The following is a 24,803-nucleotide window of genomic DNA, read 5'->3' as shown; positions in this document are numbered from 1 at the left end:
AGGAAGGAGGGAGGGAGGAAGAGGGAAGCCAGAGAGAAGCGCTTTTCTTGCGAGAGATGTGTAAACAAGCACCCCCACAGACGGAGAGCAGGAAAACGGCAGCGCCTTGGGGAAGGAATGAGACGAATTGTTCAATGACAGAAATGAGCATGAGTCTGCTAATTATTTGTCTTGTCTTCTAACAGCCATGTCGGCATAATCTTGTTGTTTGTATATTTCAGAAGCTATTAAGTTATAATAATTTAACACAATAATTCCGTGTCTGCAAGGAAGTGTAAAATTCTCTGTAAGGAGAAGTGGGAGGGAATAAGAAGAATCCCCCGGACAAAGAATGTCCACATTTTCCGTGCACCCCAGAGCACACTGCCCAGGCCAGGCCCTGCCCGACTGTCGCTGGACAAGCGAGTGCATCTGCATAGGCCAGCGGCTCCAGGCCTTGGTCCCTCTACCTCTGTCCCTGTCCCTGGCTTCAAGTTCAAGGCTAAGAGAACAGGAAGTTGCGGGGCCCGGTGCCTGCGAAGGTCAGTTGGTCACAGCAGAGGCGCATCCTGTTTTGCCCTCTAAGCTGCCGTAGCCTTGAGAACAGCCTTGCTGCTCTAGGCTGGGTCGCTCGCATTTTCTTACGGGGCACCACCTGGCCTGGCAGCTCTGATTCGCTCCATCAGTGTTTGGGGCTCACTACTTGCCAGGCACTGGGCTGGACATTCAGGGCATTTATTGGAGAACGAAGCAGATAATGTCTCCCTCATTCGAATGTGGGAGTCCAGTTCCGCAAGTGAGGTTTAACAAGATCACCACTGTGAAGAGGGCTGTGATGGAGTCACAGTTCTCTGAGCCTCTAGATAGGGCGAGTTTCCCAAAGAAGACCCCCTGGCCTGGTTTCTCATGACGAGCAGCTCTAACTGGGGGAAGAAACAAGGGAAGGGTGTACCAGGCAGAGGGAACAGTGTAAGAAAGACCGTGGCAGGCAGAGCCTGGTGGCAGCAAGGGAGGGGCGGAGGAGACCTGGCCAGCAAAGCTGTGATCGGGGCGGCTGGGGGAGTGACAGCTGCATGAGACGGCTGAGGAGGCTGGTGGGGGCCGCTCATTTCCGGAGACCACTCAGAGGAGAGACAAGGGGGTCCTGCAAGTGAGGGTGGGTCAGGGCCCTGCAGGACCCGGGTGAGGAGCAGGCACGGCTGGTCAGAGCCGCTCACCCACCGGGTGCCCTGCCACCCACGGCCAGGCCTGGTGGAAGGGCTGGATGCTTGCTCAGGCGGTGCCGCTGCAGGATCTCTGGGGAGGCCAGAGTTGCTCTCTGGAAGGTGTCTCAGGAAACTCTTTCTTTTTCAGGACCACGTTTAAGGAGTTTGCAGAGAAATACGGCCGGGATCAGAGGTTCCGACTTGTTCAAAAAAGAAAGGACCAGGAGCATTTTTTCAACCAATTCATACTTATTCTTAAGAAACGGGACAAGGAAAACAGACTAAGGCTGCGGAAAATGAGATGAGTTTGTGAAAAAATGCAATAAGCCCGGGGGTTGACCCTGGGCGTGCCGGGGGCGAGGGGGTCACGGTGGAGACGGACACGGGCGTGGGGCGGCCGAGACCTGCACGGCCCAGCGGGCACCGGCACTGCGGGGTCTTCGTTCTCAGAGGATTACTGTTTCATATTGAAGCTCTCTCTTTTGTACATTCAGAGTTTGATGCATTTCTAATCACCGTGATACGTCGATCCCTTAATTGTTTTAATTATGCAAATTACTTGTAATATACACAAATTATCAATCCACTGCAGGACTGTGGGGAAGCAGGAACGGGAGCCTCTGTAACAATCTCAAGGCATTTGTGTCATCACCTAAGACGATTGGCGAAAACTTTTCTGAAAACCTTTGTGAATTACTTCGTTTCTCCAGGATTCCCGCAGTGTTGAGGAATTCCTTACTCTGTCCCTAGGTCTCAGTCTCGTTTCTGAGTAGCAGCAATAGGGTTTTCATCATTCATCATAGTGACAACTGTGAGCATTCCACACCTGGACCGTGGATCACTTACAGGTTTCCAAGGGTGGCCGCGCGTTCCTCCCAGAGGGGCGTCCCGGCCTGGAGCAGGGAGCCGTGTTGGTTGCCACCGGTCCTACTTCAAAAGAATTATTTTGTACAAAATCATCATATTAATATTTGAGTTATTTTTATTGTATGCCCGGAGTTTGCATGAGATTTTTTCTCATCACCTTTGTATAAAAAATTTTTAATTTTTTTTAATCAATAAATATTTTAAACCAGTGTGTGTATGTGTGACTAAGACATTCCCCATGATCTTAAGCAGCAACATTGTGTTTCAACTAAAGATACCCAGTTTTGAAAGATTCAGGGAGAAAAAAAATCCCGATGATTGCAATAAGGGCCATGAAAATGCCACTCACACAGAATCTCACTTTTCAACATACTTAGTAGTCCTGGGTGGAACCACGTTTGGCAAAACCTTCACTAATTAATTGCATTCCTTAAACTATTAAACATCCATTCATTTATTTCAAGATTTATGGAGTTCTCTGTTCAGATACAATGTCTTTGTCCCCTAGTAAACAGTGACACAGCCTCCTCACCTACCTTCTTCTTAATTAGTTCCCATGAGAACACTTTTTTCCACACTTATTAGGATGTAATTGGGCAAGGTGGGATCCACTCTCCACTGAGCTCAGCCCTGGTCCCGACACTGTCGCTGTTAACACCTCACCTTCCGTGTTGGGTGGCCCCTGGGGGTTCCAGGGCCGTCGCTCAGCTCAGGCCATTTTTGACACGAGCTGCCCTCCTACCTGGCCATGACCTGTGGAGTTGGAAGGACCTGTGACGGTGCTGTCAGAGCCAGACTCCGGAGGAGCAAGTGCCGATTGTGGATCAGCGAGGGGCTGTCAGGAAAGCGAGACTTCCCTGTGATTTGAACAGGGATCTATTAATGGATCTATCAATGGATGACTACCCCAGGGGATGGGAGTCTGGAGGCTGCTGAGTTCAGATCACTGAATAGCATAGGGATAGCAGGTGACAGCAGCAGCCAGCGCCCCCAGGGCTCCAGAGAGCATCCAAGGAAAAGGCCTCTCCACCAGGGCGGAGGGCTGCAGCCCTTTGAAGAAGGCATAGCTGTGGCTTGGCGCAAGGAGACGTGTAATTGAAATGCTGTGCGATGGGACTTGCTGGAAACCCCACCCTGGGGTGCTGCGGACAGTAAGTGTGTCTCATTAGGAGGACTCTGCCCAGAGCCACCAGGGAGGGATGTCGGGGTGGGGGAAGCTGCAGGCGCTGAGTGCTGCTGGCACCTGTTAGGGCGGGGCTGCAGGATTGAAAGGGAGGAGCTTCTGGGGACCCTGTGGGTTTTGCAGGAAGGCAGTGCCCTCTCCTGCCACCCACTGTGATCCATTTGCAAAGCCGCTGCTGCTGGCTTCTTGCCCTGGTACAGGCTGACAACCCGAGCACAGAATACCCAGGGACTACAACCTGCGTGGCCCCTGGACTGCTGTCGGATCCACCCTACACGAAACCACAGGTGCACAGCAGCATTTCACTTACAGTGGACACAGCATGGGCAAAGCAGGCCCTGACCAGTCCAGGGAGACTCAATTCCTGGTCCCAGCCCCACCCCTGCCCACAGTACTGCCTACTGCTGAGCTCCTGGTCCCAGCCCTGCCCCTGCCCACAGTGCTGCCTCCTGCTGAGCTTCTGGTCCCAGCCCCGCCCCTGCCCACAGTGCTGCCTCCTGCTGAGCTCCTGGTCCCCCGCTGACAGAGGAGGGAAGGTGCTTGCTAGGACTCATGGGGGAGCCCCCAGCTCTGCTGGCTCCAGACACCAGTCATGGCCTGGTCCGGAGTGGTACTGATGGCCATTGTGAAGGAGGAGTCTCAGTGAGTGGCCTCTGGCTGTAGAAGCCACCACTTTGTAAACCTTACCCTCCTGTCTGTGAAAGGGGAGCACCAGCTTATGGGCTGGGTTTACTGAGTGTCTACTTCAAGCAAGAGATGAGGAGATCTGGGAATTGTTGGGATGGGTGCAGAGTGCAGCGATCTTCAGGTCCCATGTGCTTGGGAGACCCCCTTCACCAGGCACGCTCTAATACCAGGGGAGAAGACAATGGTCCTGGGCCATCAGCCCGTGTCTTTCCCTCACTACCCTGATTCTTACCCACTGGGCCAACTTCAAAGTGACCACAGGGCAGGGATGCAGGGTCTGCATGGGCTTTAGGAGAATTGCTCAGGGAGAGGGTGGAGCTACTGCCACAAAAGGCCAATGTTCAGTCTCATCGATGGCCCCTTTGCTGGGTTGATCATGTGGAATTGTCTCATTAATGAGGAAGCAATTTCTTCTCATTCGATTACCTCCCCAGAGGCAGATGTTCCTTCCCGGCCTGAAGCACTTCTACCATGATCACGACCCGATTCCTGCAGGATGGCCTCCATCTCCAGGGCTGCCCGCAGGATGTCTTGTTAACCAAGGGATTCATTGCAAGTGAAAGCCGTTGCAACAATGAGCTCAGAGCCACCCGACTCAGTGGTGTTCCCATGTGCCCACCCCCACAGCAGCTGCCTTGATGAAGTCTGGAATGACCTGCGATGGCCTGGATGCGGTGCCGCCTGAGGGTCTGGTGCCTGCGGGTTATGGTGCCCGCCTGAGCCCAGCAGCCTGCAAGAGGCTGCATCTCCCCTGGAACCAGGTGCAACGAGGGGAGGTGGGAGTGGCCCCTTCGGTCATTCGACTCAGTAACCTCCTTAGGGAATCTTTATGTCCATCCCCACAGCCCCGAGCTGGTGAGTGTGAACAGCTTGTTGCCCAAGAGCAGAGTTCGCTCACCATCTTGGTTCTGCTCAGTTGGAGGCTGTGGCAGCTTCCTGCTATGCGGACCCCTCCTGGCTCTGAAGCAGGAGGTGGAGAAGGTGGCCGCTCTACTGGCTGGGGCGAGTTCTCCCACTTCCACATAATGAGGACTCGGAGAACCATGACTGGACCCTGGGGGATTTGCTGGGCATCTTCAGTACCACTCAATGCTTGGCACTGGTCGGCAGGAAACTCATCAACTCAGAAAGTCAGGAGTGGAGAAGACTTGGAACCCACAGAAAAGCAAGCTTGGCTCACCCATCACGTGGTTTTGGGTAAAAGGAGCCTGAGACGGAGGTGGAAGCAGTGATTCTTGTCTGAGGGCTCACGGCTGTCTCTGGAAATAAGACCCGAGCAGCTGAGCTTTTCCGTGGATCACGTCTCCCCCTTCCTCTCCCCCGTTATCTCACTCGGCCCACTGCCCCGGGTCTCTGCTGGGGACCGTGCGGTGTCGCCTCCATGGATTCTCCCACGTTGGGGCTGGGGCCCATCCTCACCAATGCCTGTGAGTGCGCTGCGGGGTGAGGGGCCCGAGCACCATAGTTTCTATTCGTCCCCAAAGATCCTCTCCCAGGGGGTTCTGCCCCGCCCTGTGGCCCCCAAGTCTCCCACGTCGCGGCTCTGGGCTCTCTTCCTTCCTGCTCTTGGCTGGTTCTGTCAATGGGAGGCAGCGGCAGGAAACAGTGGGGCAGGGGGGCGGGGAGAGAGTTTGGGGTGTCAGTTCCCCCTCTCCCCTGCTGCCTGCCCACATTGATTCCTTTGCCCAAGGCCACAGCTCTGGTCAGGGAGCTGTTCCTACAGCCACAGCTCACATGGACTTTGGCAACAGCGGCCTTTCCCGCTCCTTCAGGCCTGGGCCAGAAGCAGCATCTGCGGTGGCTTTTCCCAGGTACTCTGCCCTCCCTGACTTCCCTCAGCTCGGCTCCAGTGTTCGGGGTCACACTCTGGTAAGCCCTCCTCCGTCACCTCTAGCGAGTGGCCATCTGTGGGCCATCAGGGCCGTGACCCCTTCCCCGCCATCATTTCCATTGTCGCCCGGATGGTAATTATCGAATGCTCACGCCGAGACACAGGGACACCGGAAATGACGTCAGCGTGAGCGCACGGGGAGGGCGCCATCTAGCTGTTTTCATGAACGCGGAAGGATCCGTCTCTCTCAGTGCTTAGGGAGACACGAGTGCCCCCGGCCTGGAGGAAAACTCCCAGGTATTTTTGCTTTTCATCCAAATATTCGGGGGCCTTGTATGTTAGTTCATACAGCCATGATTATGAATCTAAGAGACTTAAATGATTGAAAGTCTTGGCTACCTGAGTGATGGAGCTATCTCCACGCTTATGGTTGTATCTACCTGCACGCCCATCTGTGGGCCCATCGCAATGCCGTGGAGATGAAGGCGGAACGCGGGTGTAATTAGGGACGTGTTCAGGGAGAAAACGAGCTCTGAAACCCCACGTGGTGTCTATAGGGAGTGCATTTCCAATGGTCTCCTACTTTGGGGGCTGTAGATATAAGTAACCTTTTTAGTTTCAGTATGTATTTAAGATATTATAGAAAAACAGTATTAGGTTGTAATTTCATTTTTCCATGTTACACTTTCATTTTAAATGCCACTAACATAACTTGGATGATCTTGATAATAACCTCTTAGGATTTAGCAGGAAACTAAAATATTCTATTAGCGTGTCCATCAGAAGTCACTGAATCCCACTTAGGACCAGCAAGAGAGCGGAAGGAGAGGCAGTCGCTGGCCCTAGTCACGGGACAGAAGCTTCCCTCCAAGCTCCAGAGCCCAAGAGCTTCCTGCGGCTGTCGGCTGGCTGGGCCCACCCACCTCTCACCTTCCTGGGGCCCTTGCCTTTCACTAACACCTGCCACCCTCCCCTCGCTCCTCCTTCATCCTCCTCTCAGACTCTGCCCTTCTCTCGGACTTGCCCCTGGGGTCTCAGCTCAGGGGTTCTCTGCCCACCCCGTCCCCACCCCGGCCACCTCTCTCTGCCTGGGAGTTCTCAGCTCCTCCTGGTGCCGCCAGATCTGCCAGCCCCTCCGCACGTCAGAGCATGCCCCTTGCCGGTCACCCGCTCCCCGGCACCCCCTGCTCTGTGGGGAGGCCCCCACAGGGAGGATGAGGGGGCCCTGGGCCTTCCTGGCCTTGAGCAGTCATGACCAGAGGAGGAGCGTGAAGTGACGGAGCTGGATGAGCCTGCGCGGACTCACGCCCCTGCCGTTTCTTCACAGGTGGTCAGGACGCATTTCTTTCTCGTGGTTCACTCAGTGTTCTGTTTGTTTTCTTACTAAATGTTTATTATTGCTACTGTTTATTTTCTTGTTGCTTTGTTCAAATGATCTGCTTCAAACAATCCATTAACAATAATAAGAGGAAATTGTATTGCCCCCAAAATACTTGCTTTTTCTTTTTTCTTTTCTTTTCTTTTTTTTTTTTTTTTTTTTTTTTGTTTGTCTTTTCTCCATTAAGAATGTGAAGCGTGTTGCAGGAATGTGAAGCGTGTTGCAGGTGAAAAACTCCTATTTGTAAAATGCTGTCAGCATAATGAAGTCGTGCCCTTGGCGGGCCTGCCAACATGAGGAGACCCTTGAAGATCGGCATTTGTAAAGTCACTGTGCTCTTGGGCACAGGCAATGAGGAGGGAGGGCCGTCCCCGTGAGAACAGGGACAGTGGGGGACAGAGGACAGCAGTGGGGTGAGGGGGCACAGACAACAGGGATTCGGACAGCTGCTCGGGAGAGCAGAATTCAGAGCAAACAGAGAATTGTTTCCATACAGTTTTAGGGATTTTGTCTTCAATTGAATCCATTCCTGCCTCCAAGCTCTATTTTCCAAGACTCGATCTTTAAAAATTGCATTACACTTAGAAATCATTTGGGGATCTTAAAGTCATGCGTATTTATTGTATTGGAGGTGAGGGAGTGGAAGCCATGTGGAAATAGCCTCTTCTGGGGCTCCGGTGGCTTCTCCAGGCATAGGACCAGCAGTGTCTATCTACACAGTGCAGGCTGTGCTCCCCCCTCACCACTGCATGCTTTACAGAGACACATGGACATACCCCACAGTCCACGTGCTCCCCTTGCCATGGCCATGACAAAGGGTGGGGTCTGGGTTCCCTCCCCGTGAATCCAGCAGGGACTGGTGACTTCTTTCAACCAGAGAGCACGAGGAGGATGCATGTGACTTGCCAGGCCAGGCTCTGAAAGGAGGCAGCCTCTGCCTGTCTCCTCCTTGCCCAGGACATTCTCCTGTGGGAGCCACCATAGTGTGAGGAAGCCCTGGCTGCATGGAGAGGCCCCAGCTGAGGCCTCAGGCGACATGAGCTAGTGCGGGAGACTCCTAGGAGCCCAGCTCCCAGCCCTTGAAGGCACCTTCTGACACTGAGCTGGGCGGACACCAGCTCCACACTGAGCCCTGCCCAAAGCGCACACCCAGGAGCAAAATCAAAGGGGTCATTGTTTTAAGCCACTGTTTGCAGGTGATTGGTGCACAGTCATTGTAAGTGGAACATGCTCCTATGTCCAAATGACCATGACCCGTGATCTGTAAATAATCCGGATACTAATCATAGTGAGTAATTGAGCAAATGCTCATACTAGACCAGTGTGGAGCTCAGTCCTTTCTTCCTTGACTCATTTTGTCCTCTCAACAGTCCTTTGAGGTAAATCCTATTGCCACTCTCACTTCACAGAAGACTCTGAAGTTTAGAAAGAGTGAGCAATTTGTCCGAAGTCTGGGTAATAGGGACACAGCCAGAACTTGCACAGAAGTCTGTTTGACTCCAGATGCGCAAACCACACCCTGCACTGGACCCTGGGCCTCTCCCAGGGCACTTGGGGCTGTGGCTTTGTGAGAAGTAACGTCCCTTCCTGCAGGCGCTCATTCCTTTATTCCTTTGACGTGTGCTCTGCGTCTCCTGGGCTGGGCACTGCTGGAAGGGAGCCTCGGAAGCCTGGTCTTCAAGCAGCTCAGAGATCATCAAGCCACTGACACACAGGGTGGCACATGCTGCCTGGGAGTGTGCAGGGGGACTGTGGGAGGGGAGCAAGTGGGGAGAGTGAGGGGGACAGACAAGTCCTGAGGTTGAGCTGGGGGAACTCAGGAGCAGAGCCTTCCAGGCAGAAGGGGCCGCTCACACTGAGGCTCTGAGGACAGTAACAAGATCTGCCCAGGGAACTGCCAGCAGCGGCCATTCCCTCAGGGTGCGTCTGGTCGGCTGCATCTTTGGTGCTCTGCCTCTGAAAGGCACGGGACCCATGCTGAACAGCTGAGACATGACACAGGCCAACCAGGGGCTTCTCAAAATCCCTTCAATGTACGTCATGGAGAGCGAGACAATATAGTAAGTGTCACATTCCTTCATTTGTTCAACAAATACTGATGAGTTCCTAAGATATGCCGGGGCACTGTCGCCAACACAGAGGCTCCAGCAGGAAACAGGATGGCGTGCGTCTTGCTTTCGGGGAACTTGGACCTGGGGAGGCAGGCGGAAACCAGACGGGCAGGTGCACAGTGCTCCAGGCTGCTGTTACCCCTTGCCCTACCCTGGGGTGCTTAAAACCACAGGACTTTAATTCTCACGGTTCTGGAGTCTAGAAGTCGAAGATCAAGGCACCGGCAGAGTTGGCGTCTGGTGAGGGCCCCTTCCTCAAAGACGGGGCCCTCCTGGCTGTGTCCCCACAGGGCAGAGGGAGCGAGGGAGCTCTCTGGGGCCTGTCTGATAAGACACTGATCCCATTCCTGAAGGCTCCACCCTCATTTCTTAATCACCTCCCAAAGGCCCCACCTCCTCACACGATTACCTTGGGGTTTGGTTTCACACGTGAGTTTTTGGGGGACGTGCTCAGGCCACTGCAAATCACATGATTCGAGATGAGGATCACGAGGCGAGCAGAGGCCGGGACGCAGGCGCCTGTACGTGGCTGCCGGGCAAACAGCGTCTCCAGGCCTTTGCCCACGAATCTCCTCCTTCCTTGAGTCACCGGCTGAGACAATTGCTCTGGCACACCCCTGGGAGCTGCGGCCCGTCCTCATGACGAGCCTGAGTGATGATACGGGCATCTCAGACAAAATGCCATCGTCAGACCTCCCTCCTGGAGGTGAGGGGCCAGCCCACATCATCCTGCGCTGCTGTGGTCTGCCCAGGGCCTCGCATGGCTCTGGTAAAGGCCTGGTAGTTTCCGCTGTTGGTCCTGGGGCTGGAGAGCCTGAGCTGCGACAGCTTGTCTGAGCCACCGTCTCCCCATCTGCGCGTTGGGTGCACTCACAGCTCTGCCTCTTAGAGGGCGCTGGCGAGCGTGATACAGAAGTGTGTCTGGAATAGCCCAGCAGGTATGGCGGACACGAGGATCCTCTTCAGCTTCTCCCAAGGCATAGAGAAGGAAATCAGGTGGAGCACTGCCCATTGCACTGCAGAGGTGAGTCCCCTGGAGACCCCAGTCACCTCTGCCAGTGTCTCTCCCAGGGGAGTTGAATTGATGGGGGTCTGGCCCCTAGCTGGACAGGCAGGCAGGGGACCGTAATGCAGCTGCCTCCTGAGAGTGGCTCTGGCTCTCCGGGGATATGTCCCACCACACTGCACTCAGAGCCAATGTACAATCTGACTGCTTCCTTTCCGATGACGAGGCCGGTGGCCTGGGAAGCAGAGGGTTTGCCCTGACCGACGGCTGCTCAGGCGTCTAGGGGCAGATCCCCACGAGAAGACAAGGCCCACCCAGAGGCTCTTTGGCAAGCAGAGCTCAGAGCAGAGACAACACCTCCTGTGAGTCTCCAGTCATCGCAGAGGAAGCTGAAGTCTGGGACGTTCGTCTCTACCGTGTGGGTGGCCCTTCCCACGAGCCCATGTCCTCAGGGCCGTTGAGCCAGTTCTCTTCCCCAATCAGCAGTTCAGTCAGCACTGTGGACAATTGCCCTATTTTCTCCCTTATTTTTCAAAGCTCCCTCTTCCTGTTCTCATTGGTGCCTCTCTGCTTAGATACACGAGCACCTCCTGCCTCATTGGAACCGAGTCCTGCAGGTCACTAACCTTTCTCTCAGCAGTGACCTGGACCATCTCTTCTCTGATCCATCCCATCCAAGTTCATGTCATGTTGAGTTTGGGGAGCAGTCGTGGGGTCATTCTCGCGTTTGACCCCTGCCCTGCATCCCATTACACAGGATCTATTCCCTGTGGTTGGGATGTCAGCAACCTCTTCAGCAAGAGAGGGCACATGAGTGATTGAATGGATCAATTGCCTGAGTGGGGAATGTGTGGCCAGATGGACACCACACAGCCTAATTCCCGATCTAACAAACCCCTGTCTGGAGCGGGATGGGAATTGTAAAGCCAGTTAGCTGTGTACCATCTCTCCGTCGACTTAGCACACAGTCACTGGGGTTTTCCAATGCAGTGTGTGTTGGGCAGCGTGTGAATGTGCCGCAAGGGCCCAGGCCATCCTGAAATGATGAATTACTTCCAGCCCAGTCACCTCGTCCAAATACTCTCAACCCGCCGCGACCTTGGTTTGCAAACCACAAATGAAAACAGCTGCTCTCTTGCTCTGCCGGCATATCTCCTCCACACATAAAAGTTGGTAATCAGATGACTTTGCCAACTCGTTCCCTTCAAAGCCTGGTGCAGGCATTTTGCTCTGGGCACTGCTAGAATAATCCACAAACAGAGACTGTGCCGATATGAAGCTGTTCCATAAATGAGCAGCTCAATAGCAACTTCCTCTCTATTCTGCCCAGGTCAGTGGGCAGCCTGCCCAAACGCGGACAGACGCTGCGCCTGCAGCACCTATGCCCACTGAACTCTTGGCAGCCGGTCTCTGAAACCAAAGCAGACACTTTTAGAAAAGGCTGAAATGATAGCGGGTATTCTCCAGGCTCCCAGAATTTGGAGGAGGAGCTGAGATGGGGCTTAGGGGTAAGACGAGTGTTCCTACATGGGCAGGCTGAGCCTAAACTACAGGGCTGCTATTTTCCATGTGGCCATCCTGGATTTATCCCTGGGCTGGTACGATGGGGGAATCTGAGGTGTCCCAAGAGTGGAAAAGGGGGTTTCCTTTGTAGAGATCAGCCTGACACAGGACGCAGTCCTCTCCCTGCCGCCCCACCTGCCGCCCCTCCGGCCTTGGGCCACAATCCCGCCACTACTCACGGAGAAGCTCTGTGTCCGGCCACTGGTTTTCACTCCCAGCATCCCATATGCCCTCATTCAGAGCAGCTCAGAGCTCCCACCAGGCAAAGGGAGCAGCATCCATCAGGCAAAGCCTCAGGCCGGGGACCCTGTGACCACAAGTCCAGCCTCCAGCCAGGTGAGTGCTGCCTTCTATACTTCCACCTGCCCCGCCCTGACCCATGCTGCCTTCTACACTGGCCAGTCCTCCTCCACCTGCCCTGCCCTGACCCATGCTGGGCAGCCTGCAGGGGCTCCGTCTTGGGGACAGCATAGATCTTCCAGCAGCTTCTGACCTCAGGCAGAGAGGTGCCCTTCCTGTTGGTCGGGAGGTCCTGACCGCAGGCTCCAGCTGGCCACCCTGGCAGGAACTGGCCAGTCTGGGGACAGGTGGCTGGGTTGCTCTTTGGCCACTGAACTTGGCCATTTGCTGTTTTAAAATTTTTGACAGAATTGAGGTAGAGAGGAAAGGAAAATAAGAAAAAAGTAGCCGTGGTCAGATTTCTCATTTTCACGAATTGCCACTAAGCTTGTTGGAACAGCCCACGTGACCATCCTGCTATGCAGGCCAGGAGCCCAGTGTGCCCACCACATCTGCCTGTATCAGAGGCACAGAGACTCAGGCATTGTGTTCCACACTCCCAGTCCTGTCGGCCCAGCAAGCCTCACTCCAGCTCTTGCCCTGCAAGGCCGCCCAAGACTGGTGCCCCAGTGTGGGGGCCACTGACCCTGGGATGCCCTGTGGACCTGCCAGGCTGAGAGACCCTGCTGACCGTCAAGGTCAAGAAGGGTCTGAATACTCCCCCCATGCTGGAATCTCTTCCTGCTGCCCAATCCAAGCCTTGTCTCCTCCAGAGCCTTTCCAGCCTCCATCTGCTGGGAGAAGATAAAACAAGGAACGTTGGCCTTGGCCTTGAGCTCAGTTCACTCCTGGGCAGAGCTTCTCCCATTGCAGAATGTGTGCTCATGTGAGTGCACCCCTCTGCTGGAGTTCCAGACACAGGGGTCACAGCAAGACTTCCACTCAGAGGTCTGTAGCAACTACATAAACACCAACTGTCCCGCCCACCGAGAATGCATGCCTTGCTCAGATCAGGCAGAGAATGTTCACTCAGAGCGATGCTTGTTTCCTGGTTTTGGCTTTTTCTCTGCTCTTATGACCTGGCACATTTCCTGTGAGGTGGTTGTCTGTAAAGAAGGAAGCTCACTGCACACAGGCTCGGGGCCAAACTACGACATTTCTGCCACCTGCTCCAGCATCCCACCCTCTCTCCTGGAACTAGGATCCAGCCCTATCTCCTCTGCCCACCAGGATTGCAAGCCAAGATTGTCTAAGGAAAAAATGTGGCAGGGGTCATATTGGCCAGTTGGAGCAAGAAGACGTTCTAAACAGAACTTTTTATTTCAGAAATGCTTTTGTTGGACTAGCAAGAAAAGAATGTCCTCTTGGGTTTATGTGCCTTTGAGGGCAGGGCTTGGGATCAAGCACTCTGCATCCCCAGCCTGATGGGAGAGCTCCCGGAACTGAGCTGGGGCCCAGAAAAGCAGTATGGAGCCACTGGGGCTGAGCCCCTCCCTGCTGATGTGTGTGTGTGTGCGTGCACATGTGTGAACATGCACCATATGGGGGTGTGGGTGTGTAAGTGCACATGTGTGTATGTGTGTATGTGCATGCACTGTGTGTGTGTGTCCCTGAACAGCCCCATTGCTCTAAAATAGCCTGCCTGTCTCTACATACGACCCCCAGTGGCTCCTATTCAGGCAGACCCTCCCCTGGGAGGCTGGCATGAGGGTTTATATCACAGACAGAACGCATGAGAGCCTCCACATTTCTGAATCTCCAGCAACCCTACCTGGATGTGTCAATTCCGTAAACTCCTGTCCATGACTCATTTCTGGGGAACCCGGTCTTGGGCCTGCCTGGCATCATTTGGGGAGATAATCTCTACCCCAAGCAGTTAGAAGTCAAGGAAACAGAAACAAACTGGATGATTTTTCCCACCGGAGGACAAATTCTTTCTCTAGACTTTTAGAAAGAGTGCAGCGTTGGCTTCAGTGGGTGATTTTACTTGATTCATCTCCACGTCCATCCGAGATAGATCTCTCCATTTCAGTCCTCTAATTCTGCCTGAGAAGTGGAGAAATGTGGGCGTCCATATGCTTTTTAAAATAAATCACCTTCTGGCAAAGTGTGCTGAGAAATGAATCATTTCTACTACCATTTCAACTCCCTCCACTTCTCCAAAATGCACATTTAATAACAAAGTCAGAGATATGCACCCTCTATTTTTTTTGTAGCTCAGGCTAACGGAATTGAAATGCTCTCTTGATTCCAATGTATTTGTGAATGCGCCGTCTTTGCCTACTTCATCTTTTATATAATACACTGCCCTCTGAGATATGAGAACAGGAGTCCTCATCTACTCGTGGATTCTAAGGGCGGAAATCAGCGTATTGCATTCGGTGGCTGTTTCCCTGTATGTTGAGGTGCCACCCGTCTTTGTCCTGACTGTTTTCTGTTTCTCTTGGGTGGGGCTCCCTCCAGGACACTGGCAGAAAGACAAGCTCTGTGCATGGCTGTGCTCAGTGTCAGAGATAGCTCCATTGTAGCTCATGTTCACTGCCACCAAATTTTGGCTAAATCACAAGACGAGGACCATAATGGGAAGACATAAAAGAGGCCCACAAAACACTCACAATTTTGGGGTTTTATTTAGGACATAAAAGAAATATTTATTGCAGTCCTACACATATAGTAAATATCTCTTGCCATTTGCATCATCACTTTGCAACTTACACCATATTTTAGAAATGGAAATGGCCCATAAAGGCCCCAACCGTTCCGCTATGAATGTGTCGACATAGCTCAGTGCCTTGGAAGTGGAATGAAGTTTGCTCTGCCCTTGCTCCACAGCCGTGGGTGCTCGCAGCCTGGCAGTAAATTGCGCCTCATCCTGGCCCATTCCATCCACTCTTCCTCTGCCAACTGGGACTTCAACAGCCTAGACAATTTATCAGAAAGGCGGGACAGCAGACCCAGGGTGCCAACCAAGGGAACTGCTGTCCAGGTGGGGTCACTCGGCTGCCTGGAATCCAGGAGAGGTCACCTGGCTGCCCGGACTCCAGTGGGGTCACTTGGCTGCCTGGATTCCCTGCCTCCACCTCATCTCCGTCTGTGATGGTCAAACAACGGGGTTGCACATGGCGATTCAGCACAACAGATACTGAGCACTGACCAACGCCAGAGCCTGTTATGTTCTGGGGTCAGACATGGAGCTGACTTGGCTCCTGCCCTTGAAGAGTATAAAGTAGAGCCAAAGCAGACATGAGCACTGGGCCGTCCTAGCTCAGCAGACGTGAGCACTGGGCCCTTCTAGCTCAGCAGACGTGAGCACTGGGCCGTCCTAGCTCAGCAGACGTGAGCACTGGGCCGTCCTAGCTCAGCAGACGTGAGCACTGGGCCCTCCTAGCTCGGCAGACGTGAGCACTGGGCCCTCCTAGCTCGGCAGACGTGAGCACTGGGCCCTCCTAGCTCGGCCTGTCCAGCCTGTGGCAGTGGGACACCAGCAGCGATGCAGCTCAGCAGTGCAAAGGCCAGCCCTCTGCCCGGCGGTTCTCGAAGCGATCAAGGTGTTTACTTAGGTCATCCTCATGCACACCAGTGGCACAGTCAAGGGGACTGCCCCATTATATATACGGGCGGAATGAGACACAGAGAGGCAGTGATTGCTCAGGCTAAGACACGGACAGGCTGCCTCGAGGACCCGCACATCCAGCCACTGCTCTCGGCCCCACAGCAATAATACGAGAGGTGCAATCCCCAGAGACAGCTTCCTATGCACAGGCACCGGCTGTGTCCATCCACAGCCATCAGTCCTCTCCTCCAGCGTTTATGATGCTCTGGGGGCCGTTCATATGCCCCGCTGAGGCTTAGACAGGAGAAGCGACTCACCCAGAACCACCTATGTAAACCTCAGTTTTCCCCCAGAGCCCACGGATGAGTCAGAGTTGTTTAGAAGTGGAGGCTGTGGGGTCAGAGAGCACTGGTGGTTCTCAGGGGTGCTGGGGTAAGTTCTTTAAACTTTTGGAAGCTCAGATTCTTCTCCCACTGGGAAGGGTGCCCATGTTAAGGAGGCTGCAGGAGCAGGGTGAGGAGTTTCCTGTGGAGATGGCTGGCACAGAATGGGCTCTGCGGTGCTGTGCACCACGTGGAAATCTTGTCCCCCAAGGGGTCATCATCATTACCTGAGAAGGGAACCAGGCTCTGGGCAGTGCTGGTCACCACTTGGAAAGCTTGTCCTCCGAGGCATCACCATCACCTGGGAAAGGACCCGGGCTCTGGACAGTGCTGGGCACCGCGTGGAAAACTCGTCCCCCAAGGGGGTCATCGTCTTTACCTGGGATGGGACCTGGGCTCTGGGCAGTGCTGGGGACTACATGGAAATCTTGTCCCCCAGCATGTCATCATCATTCAGGAAGGGACCGGGACTCTGGTTCCACAGTCTAGGTGCAGCTGGCACCACTGGGGCCAGGAGGCACAGGGTGGGCAGTGACGGGGGAAGACAGTGGGGAGTGGACAAAAGGTGCCCCAGGTGCTGGGATGAGGAGCTGGGACCCTTGGGATGCATCTGTCTCTTTCTGCCTCCAAGACTGCAACCTGGAGAATACAGCTGAGCTGCGTGGATGCTGACGCTCTCATCCCAGAGCAGAGCAGGTGCCTGGCCCAGAGGACAGGTATACTGATGCACGGAACCAGGGCAGGACCCTGGGCTCTGGGCTTCTTCAGGCGTGGCTGGTACCCAGGGCCTGTGGAGGGGATGGGGGATGGGGAGCCAGCTTCAGCCATCCTGAGTGGAGAGGAGAGGGGACTGTCTTTACACCATGATTGCTGCATTTAATTGCCCCTGCAGCGGTATTATTATAATCCTATTTTCTTATTTTTCAGGCTGAGATAGGATAGAAAATATATAACCTGATTATGCACCATATAACATATTAAGCCAGGAAGGTCTTATAATTAAAACATTTAGAAAGAACTATCCAGGGAGGTAGTTAAAATCTGTTTAAATCCTTATCAAATAATGAAAATATCTTCAGAAAAAAAATCAGCCTCTTAGCATGTGTTCACCTCCACGATCATCTGTGGTTTTAGCATGAGGCTAGAGACATATTTACATGAAAATACTGAGGGCTTAAGAGTACTTTTCAGGCACAGCTGCACAACCAGACTGGGTACAGCGTGGCTCCGAAAGGCTCTCTAACTGCATGGAGGTGGGTGGCTTCACGGGGCCCAGAATCCCTGCCCAACCTATCCCCACCCAGCACCCTCCCAGCAGCAGGCACTGCCTCCTCCCCAGCAGGACTCAGTCTCACTCCGAGGCAAAAATGGGGGTGCCTGCCCAGAGAGCAAGGTTAGAGCTGTCCTGTCCTTGGGTCCCCCTTGGGCTTTTGGGTGCCATCTCCCATTTTGGGTGCCAGCTCCTTCCCATGGACTTCCTTGCTCACCCTGTGGGCACCTGCCACAGCCAGTCCTGCCTCCTGGCTGCCCTGGTTCCATGCATCAATGTACCTGTCCTCCGGGCCAGGCACCTGCTCCACTCCGGGATGAGAGTGTCCGCATCTACACAGCACAGCTGTGTCGTCCAGGCTGCAGGCCTGGAGTTGTAAAGAGATGGATGCATCCCAGGGGGTCTTTTGTCCACTCCCCTCTGTCTTCCCCCATCACTGCCTGCCCTGTGCCTCCTGGCCCCAGTGATGCCAGCTGCACCTAGATCGTGGAACCAGCCTCAGCAGTGGCACAGGCTCAGCCTCCTGAAATAGATCCCTTCTCGCCACTCCCAAAGGTGCAGCCTCCGTAGGGGAGTCCTAACTCACACAGCCTGTCCCACACGACAGCTCTCAGACTTCTTCTGTGTCAGAGAAACAGTGCAAGGACAGAGAGCTTGTACCTGCTGCTTAGAAAGCTCAGCACCTGGCCCACCAACAGGTCCGCCCCTGGCTGCTCATTTGCGATGCCTGGTTCTGCAGATCAATCCCAGCCCCACCCCGGGCCATACGAGTTGCTGGTCCCTTCCTGCCCTCCCCGGGCCAGAACAGGGGAGACCCCACCTTTCTGTCCAACCTCCACCCAAGCCTGCTCTCCAGAGCTCCCCCCAGAGCCAGACTGCCCGGCTTCTCCCTGCCTTTTCCTGCAAGGCCTTTAGGAAATACTCCCTCACCTGACTCATGATGCAGGGCCTGCGGAGAAGCTTTTTGTTTTAGTTTGTTTAGTCCATCCCCTGGCTCTGTAGAAGCAGTCCGGAGAATTGGAGTGACCCTCATGGGCAGAACTGGGGTGCAGAGGGATGGAGGGGCCATCATGGGCAGAAGTGGGTTGCGGAGGGGTGGAAGGGCCATCCTAGGCAGAATTTGGGGGCAGCCCAGGCCCCCGCTTCTGCCATTGTCCTCGGCTCTGCATCCTGAGCTCCATGTGGAGCTGCTTTGGAAAGGGCCAGCCAGGCATTGCACAGAGGCCCAGGTGGACATCCCAGTGGGAACTGCATCCCGGTGGGAACTGCACGGTGGGCACTGTCTTCTAGCCTCCTCCAAGTGTCAATGGGGGAAGAAAACAAGGTCATTTCAAGAGGCCTTGTTGAATGCACAGAACTAGAGGAAGCCTGCTTATCTCTGTAGGTGTTTCATAAACTGATCACCTTTTCAGTTACAATGCACCAACAGAGAGGACATTTAGGAGCAAAGACAAAGGGAGGGGAGGGGACGCCCCCCAGGCTGAGCACTGGAGATTTACAGGGGCCTGGATTTGGAGAGGCTGCATTTCCAGTGGGCTCTGACTACCTCTAGGTTCCTTAACTCGGGAACTAACTGAGCTTGGAGTATTAATCAGGCCGTGATTAGCTGGGTGAGCAATAACTCACCCTGGCCCATGAGCAAGAAACGGCTGCGCCCAGTGCAGGGAGGCCTAAGGCTGCACGCAGACCCAGACTCAGGAGCCGGACCCAGGTGCGCCCAGTGCACTGAGGCCTAAGGCTTCACGCAGATCCTGACTCCGGAGCCCGGACCCGGGTGCGCCCAGTGCACGGAGACCTAAGGCTTCACGCAGACCCAGACTCCGGAGCCCGGACCCGGGTGCGCCCAGCGCAAGGAGGCCTAAGGCTGCACGGAGACCCAGACTCTGGAGCCGGACCCAGGTGCGCCCAGCGCACGGAGGCCTAAGGCTGCACGGAGACCCAGACTTGGAAACCCGGACCCCGGGGATGTGAGGCTGACACTCTGAAGGTCAGCGATTGACCTTGACCTGCAGAAGACCTAAACTAGGTCATGATTGCATCTGAAACTTTTTCCTTAGTTTTTCTGGACAACTCTTTGATTTACTCAATGGGACATTGGCCTGGGAGGAGTGAGGGCCTTGGAGGATTTTCATGATAGAATTTCTCAAACATATAGAAATGGAGAGAAAACGTAATGACCTGGGTTCCCACATCAGGAGCTGCCAGACTCTGAGTTCCGTCACTGTCCTACCGCTCCCGGCCCCCATGCCCTGGGCACCCCAGAGTTGGCCACCAAAGACAAGGGCTCTGAGCTAAGACAGAGCCATTGCCCACCCGATGACAGGGAAGAGTCCTCGTTAAGGATTTCCCCACAAGTCCTCACGCCCTTGCAGGAGTCTCCAGAGGAAGAAGCCCCTCCCCCTGGTTCATCCCAATTGTGCCTCTGAGGGATATGGCAGAAAGAGGGCAAGGTCCCCACAGCCAAACATCCCTGCAGAGCCATGTCTGAGGAATGGCTCGGGGAGGTTGGGACCAGATTTCATCTTTGCTCAAATAAGCCATGGTGTTCATTAGCTCCCCGTGAGAACAGGTGATGTCACGTGAGAAGCAGCTGAAGCTTGCATTCCATCCAAACCACGTTTCCCCCAGCAGCCTCTACCTCTCCTGGAGGGTCACAGAAAACCAGCACACCGGGCACACCTCATCTGCCATGAGCTGACTGGTTCCACATTTCTTTTCTTTTCCAGCCTTATTTGCCTGGTTGTTTAGGTTACCACTATGCTGGGCAGACTGGTTTCCATCCAGATAAAACTAATTTGGAGCCCACACCTGCCTCCCTCTTGGTGAGACAGATTTCAGCCATGTGCAAAGTCCGCTGGTCCATCTGGGTCCAACCTCCTACGGTTCAGCTGGTTTCTTGGTCAGCAAAGTTTCTCCTTCCCACCCTCCAACTACGCAGTGTCGACCAGTCTTCCTATTGTTTTCTGGAGTTTAGAATCAGCTGCCCAAAATATAAAATGCAATGAAGGTCCAATAACAAGATTTTACAGCTTTACTGCTTTAGAAGTTTACACATTTACAGCTTTGGAAAAGTTTATTGATACCCTGCAGAGCTGTTGCACAAAATATCGATGACTTGAAAGTAAGTTCTTTTTTTCCTTTTATTTTTCTTTGCAAGAGAGACACAATGTGAGCACGCTAGGTTAAAGGGAAGTTGGAAGGCAGGAACGGAATGCAGTCCAGAAGCCTCTGGGCCCAGGAGCTTGCGTTGTGACCGGGGTCTGGCTGGGAGTGAGACTCCTGGCAGCCAGGGTTTCCTGATCGTCCCCATGACAAGCCCTGCCCTGAGCACCTTGAGAACAGGGCACATGGCTGGCTCCAGGGATCCCATGGGCCAGTGCCTTCAGGGTTGTTGGGTTGGCAGGGGAGGGGGAGCACCGGAATCAGAGTCCAGTTCCAGCTTTGGGGCCACCAGGGCTGTGAGGCAGCACACACGCTCCCAAGGAAAGGCTTTGGAAGGAAGTGCTGAGGGCGGTCCAGTTGTGACAGAGTGGGCTGGGGCCTGCCCGAGGACACAGGGCCGGGCATCCGCCTAGGGGGAGTGAGGCTGGAGGGAGTGGTCTGGAGCTGGAGGGCCACACGCCTCCAGTACAGTACATAGCCAGGGGGCTGCGTGTGTGGCCCTTGTGTGAGCTCCAGGCCCCTCCCATCCACATCCTGCCCATCCAGAGGGGCCTGGGCTCTTCTGTCCACAGCACAGGCAGCTCTCTGCTCCCAAGGGGCTGCAGTGGTTCCTTCTGCTTCACAGGGACACGTTGAGGCCCCTTTACCCCTGATGGAGTCACAGGGTTGGAGGCCCTGATGGAGGCAGGCACACGTGCTCAGTGGGGCTCTAGGGCAGGCGACTCCCAGAAGCAGCAGGGGCAGGCCCCTCCTGGGGTCAGGACTGCACCCGTCCAGGGGACCTGGCTGCTCTCAGCCACATGTGTTCTCCTAGACATCCCCAGCCCAGGATTTGTCTCTGCTTTTCTTATTTTTCTAGACAAACTTTAGTCCACGTGGCCTGGACAAGTAGATAGCCGCAGAGGCAGCACCAGACTGGGCAGGTGAGGGAGGGTTCAGGCAGCACGAGCCGACCCAGGACAGGGACCAGATGCTGCACGGCCTGAGATATGTGGGCTAAACATGCAGTGGACAAATGAGAAACACTGGAACAGGGACTCACGTGTGTGTGTGTGTGTGTGTGCGCCCGCGGATATGTGTGTACATGTGCATGTATGTGTATGTGTTTATGTATATGTGGGTGTTCAGGTATGTACATTTGCATGTGTGTATGTGCATGTGTATGCAGGTATGTCTGTACGTGTGTGTTTTTGTATGTGTTTATGTGTGTGTCCAGGCATGCATGTACATGTGTATGTGTGCATGTGTGTGTAGATGTGTGTAAGTCTGTGTGCAGGTATGTGTACATGTGCATGTGTGTACGTGTGTATGTGTGTGTGTTTGTAGATGTGTGTGTGCAAGTGTGTGTGTACATGTGCATGTGTGTATGTGTATGTATGTGTATGTGTGTGTGCAGGTATGTATGTACATGTGCATGAGTGTGTGTGTTTATGTAGATGTGTGTGCAGGTGTGTATGTGCATGTGTGTATGTGTGTGCATGTGTATGTGTGTATGTGTGTATATGTGTATGTTCAGGTATGTGTGTACGTGTGTGTATGTGTGTGTTTGTGTATGTTTATGTATGTGTGTTTGTGTATATATGTGTGTACATGGGCATGTGTGTATGTGTGTGCATGTGTGTTTATGTAGATATGTGTGTATATTTGTATATGTAAGTACATGTGTATATGCATATGTGCAGGTGTGTGTACTTGTGCATGTGTGTATGTGTGTATTTTGTGTGTGCGTGTGTGTGTGTGTGTGTACTGGGCGGCAAGGGGAACAGCTGTGGATGGTGGCAGACCTGTCCACACTCAGATGCCATGTTCCGCTCCTAGGCCACAGCATGACAAGACTTGTGGTTTTCTGACTATGGGAAAAACAGACCCCTGGACGTGTGTTTATTCAACAAGTGACACACTACACGCCACTTCTGCCCACTCCGGAAAACGCGAATATTCGATAATTTGGGGTATAGATATTATTAAATGCACAATCTCTTTTTGAAATATTTTATTTTGCTATAAAAATTTTTGATGAGCCCATAAACCTCAACATCACGTGGCTGTTGTGTAAATGGAGTCGAGAGCATGTGGGTTGGTGTGAACAATATTACAAGCATAGTTTAGAAGAATATGGCTTAGGGAAGGGGATGCTTTGGAAGAAGCTCTAATTGGGGATTGAAGACCAGCCACAGGATTAGAGGCAGGAAGGGCTTCCTGATGGGAGTGGGCCAGGGGCTGGGGCTGGGAGGCCTGGCCTATGGCTGGTGAGGATAACTTCGAAGGGGCCATGAAGCCCTCTGCGTTCATTTTCAACGGCATCTTCTCAAAGAACCGGGTGCCCTGCCAGTGCGAGTCAGCCTCTGGCGCAGACACTCGCTCCTCTGCAGGGTTCTGTCCTTCCAAGCCAAATTGTCCCTGACTCACATTTCATATCCATGATTAAATAAATGTGTATGATAGTTCTTTCTTACCTAGTGTCTACCTAGAAAATGTTACAAACCTATAGAAGAGCTGACAAGTAATAAAATGAACCCTCACAGACTCTCAGCTTCATGCTTTTTAACAGTGTGGCATCTGTGCACTCTATACATGTCCATATGTACATACAAGCGCGTGCACACACACGTACATTTTCACGAAGACGTGGAGCGAGTGTAAGACATCACGACATTTTACCCTTGAATACGTCGTCATCAGCATGCATCTCCGATAATAAAGGACCTTGCCCACCCAGCCAGAATACCATTGTCACGGTGAAGACTCTTTAACTCAACAACGGCCTAAATAGTTCACATTCCAGTTTCATCTATTTTTTTTTAACAATGACTTTTATGCTTTTTCTCCCAGGAGCCAATCAAGTTTTACCCACTGCATTTGCTTGCCAGGTTTCTATGGACATTTTAAAATCAGAATTTTCCTCCCCCACACACACTTGCCCCATTCCCTTTGTTTTCCTGACATTGGTTCTTTGGACCTGCAACCCAGCATTTGGGATCATCAGCTTCTCTTGAGGTGACCCACTCCAGGCTGGCCCTTCTGCCCTGGACACCCCGCCGGTGCTGGGCTCCCCTCATCACTCCCCATTGAGAAAGGCCTGCCTCACCTGTCCCACTGCCGGCTGTGTGAAGCAGGACCACTGCGGCTGGTGTGGGGCCACCCTTCCTTGCTCCTCCTCCATGCAGTGGGCCATCCCAGGGTGCTGTGGCTCTCGTACCCACCCTGCTAACTGGCTCTCCAGGCTATTCTCAGCTCTTTGCTAACATAGAACACTGCTGCGAGGAATACACTTGTGCACGCACTGGTTGATGTTTGGAGACATTCACCTGTAAGGGAAATTCCTGGACATGCAGCTCTAGGTCAAAGGCACGTGCCTATGCTACCTCCTTAGAAGTCTTCTCATTCCCCTCCACAATGCAGTAACATCCCTGCTCCAACCAGCACTGCGTGGGGTGGCTTCCCCCAGCCTTGCCCATGGAGTGCTGCCAGCTGTAAATTGGCATCGATCTGAGAGGTGAGAAACAGCAGCAAAAGCAGCTTTCATGTGTTCTCCCATCGTGAGTAGCGTTGTAACTATTTCTTCACAGTTCGATGTTTAGCATTTGCTTATTTTTACTATGCAATTTTTACTATGCAATTTAAAAAGCATATCATTGCATTTATCAACTTTTTTATTGTTTCTAAATGTTGAATCTTAATTAGAAAAGCTTTTCACCTATCCAGGTTAAAAAGGAATTCACCCATGCTTTTGCCTAATATGTGTGTGTATATATAATTCATGTATATTTTACATTTTACTTTTTGTCCAGCAAATAGTGTGAGTCATGGATCCAATTTTCCAAGTGAATGTCAAGATTTTCTAGTGAATTTTTAAAAGTTAATATTTTCCTCAGATATTTGAGAGATGTCCTCTTTAACGGTATGCTCAACTTCCATATGTGTTTGGGTTTATTTATGGATTTCTATAAATTATTTTTATTTATTTATTTATTGAGACGGAGTCTCGCTCTGTCGTCTGGGCTGGAGTGCAGTGGTGCTATCTCAGCTCACTGCAAGCTCCGCCTCCCAGGTTCACGCCATTCTCCTGCCTCAGCCTCCAGAGTAGCTGGGACTACAGGTGCCCGCCACCACGCCTGGCTAAATTTTTTGTATTTTCCGTAGAGACGGGGTTTCACCGTGTTAGCCAGGATGGTCTCGACCTCCTGACCTTGTGATCCACCCACCTCCGCCTCCCAAAGTGCTGAGATTACAGGCATGAGCCACCGCACCCGGCCTATAAATTATTTTTATTTATTTCTTCTATTGGTCTGGTGGATCATGTCCTACTAATACACTGTTTTAATCACAAAAGCTTTATCGTATTT

The 24,803-nt window shown here is 53.2% G+C and overlaps 1 protein-coding gene across 2 annotated transcripts in view; it reads left to right on the top strand.

The window, feature by feature from the left end:
- Positions 1–2,260, top strand: part of TCERG1L (transcription elongation regulator 1 like) — a 219,331-nt gene extending 217,071 nt beyond the window's left edge. For both annotated transcript variants that reach the window (NM_174937.4, XM_047424966.1), the window contains one exon: positions 1,333–2,260. In NM_174937.4, the coding sequence (NP_777597.2) occupies positions 1,333–1,489 (157 nt within the window). In that variant the 3' untranslated portion in view covers positions 1,490–2,260. The remainder of the gene's footprint in view (positions 1–1,332) is intronic.
- Positions 2,261–24,803: the final 22,543 nt, after the last annotated feature.

Source organism: Homo sapiens, chromosome 10, assembly GCF_000001405.40.
Source record: "Homo sapiens chromosome 10, GRCh38.p14 Primary Assembly".
Classification (NCBI taxonomy): Eukaryota; Metazoa; Chordata; class Mammalia; order Primates; family Hominidae; genus Homo; species Homo sapiens.
This window is presented reverse-complemented; position numbering and strand designations above follow the sequence as displayed.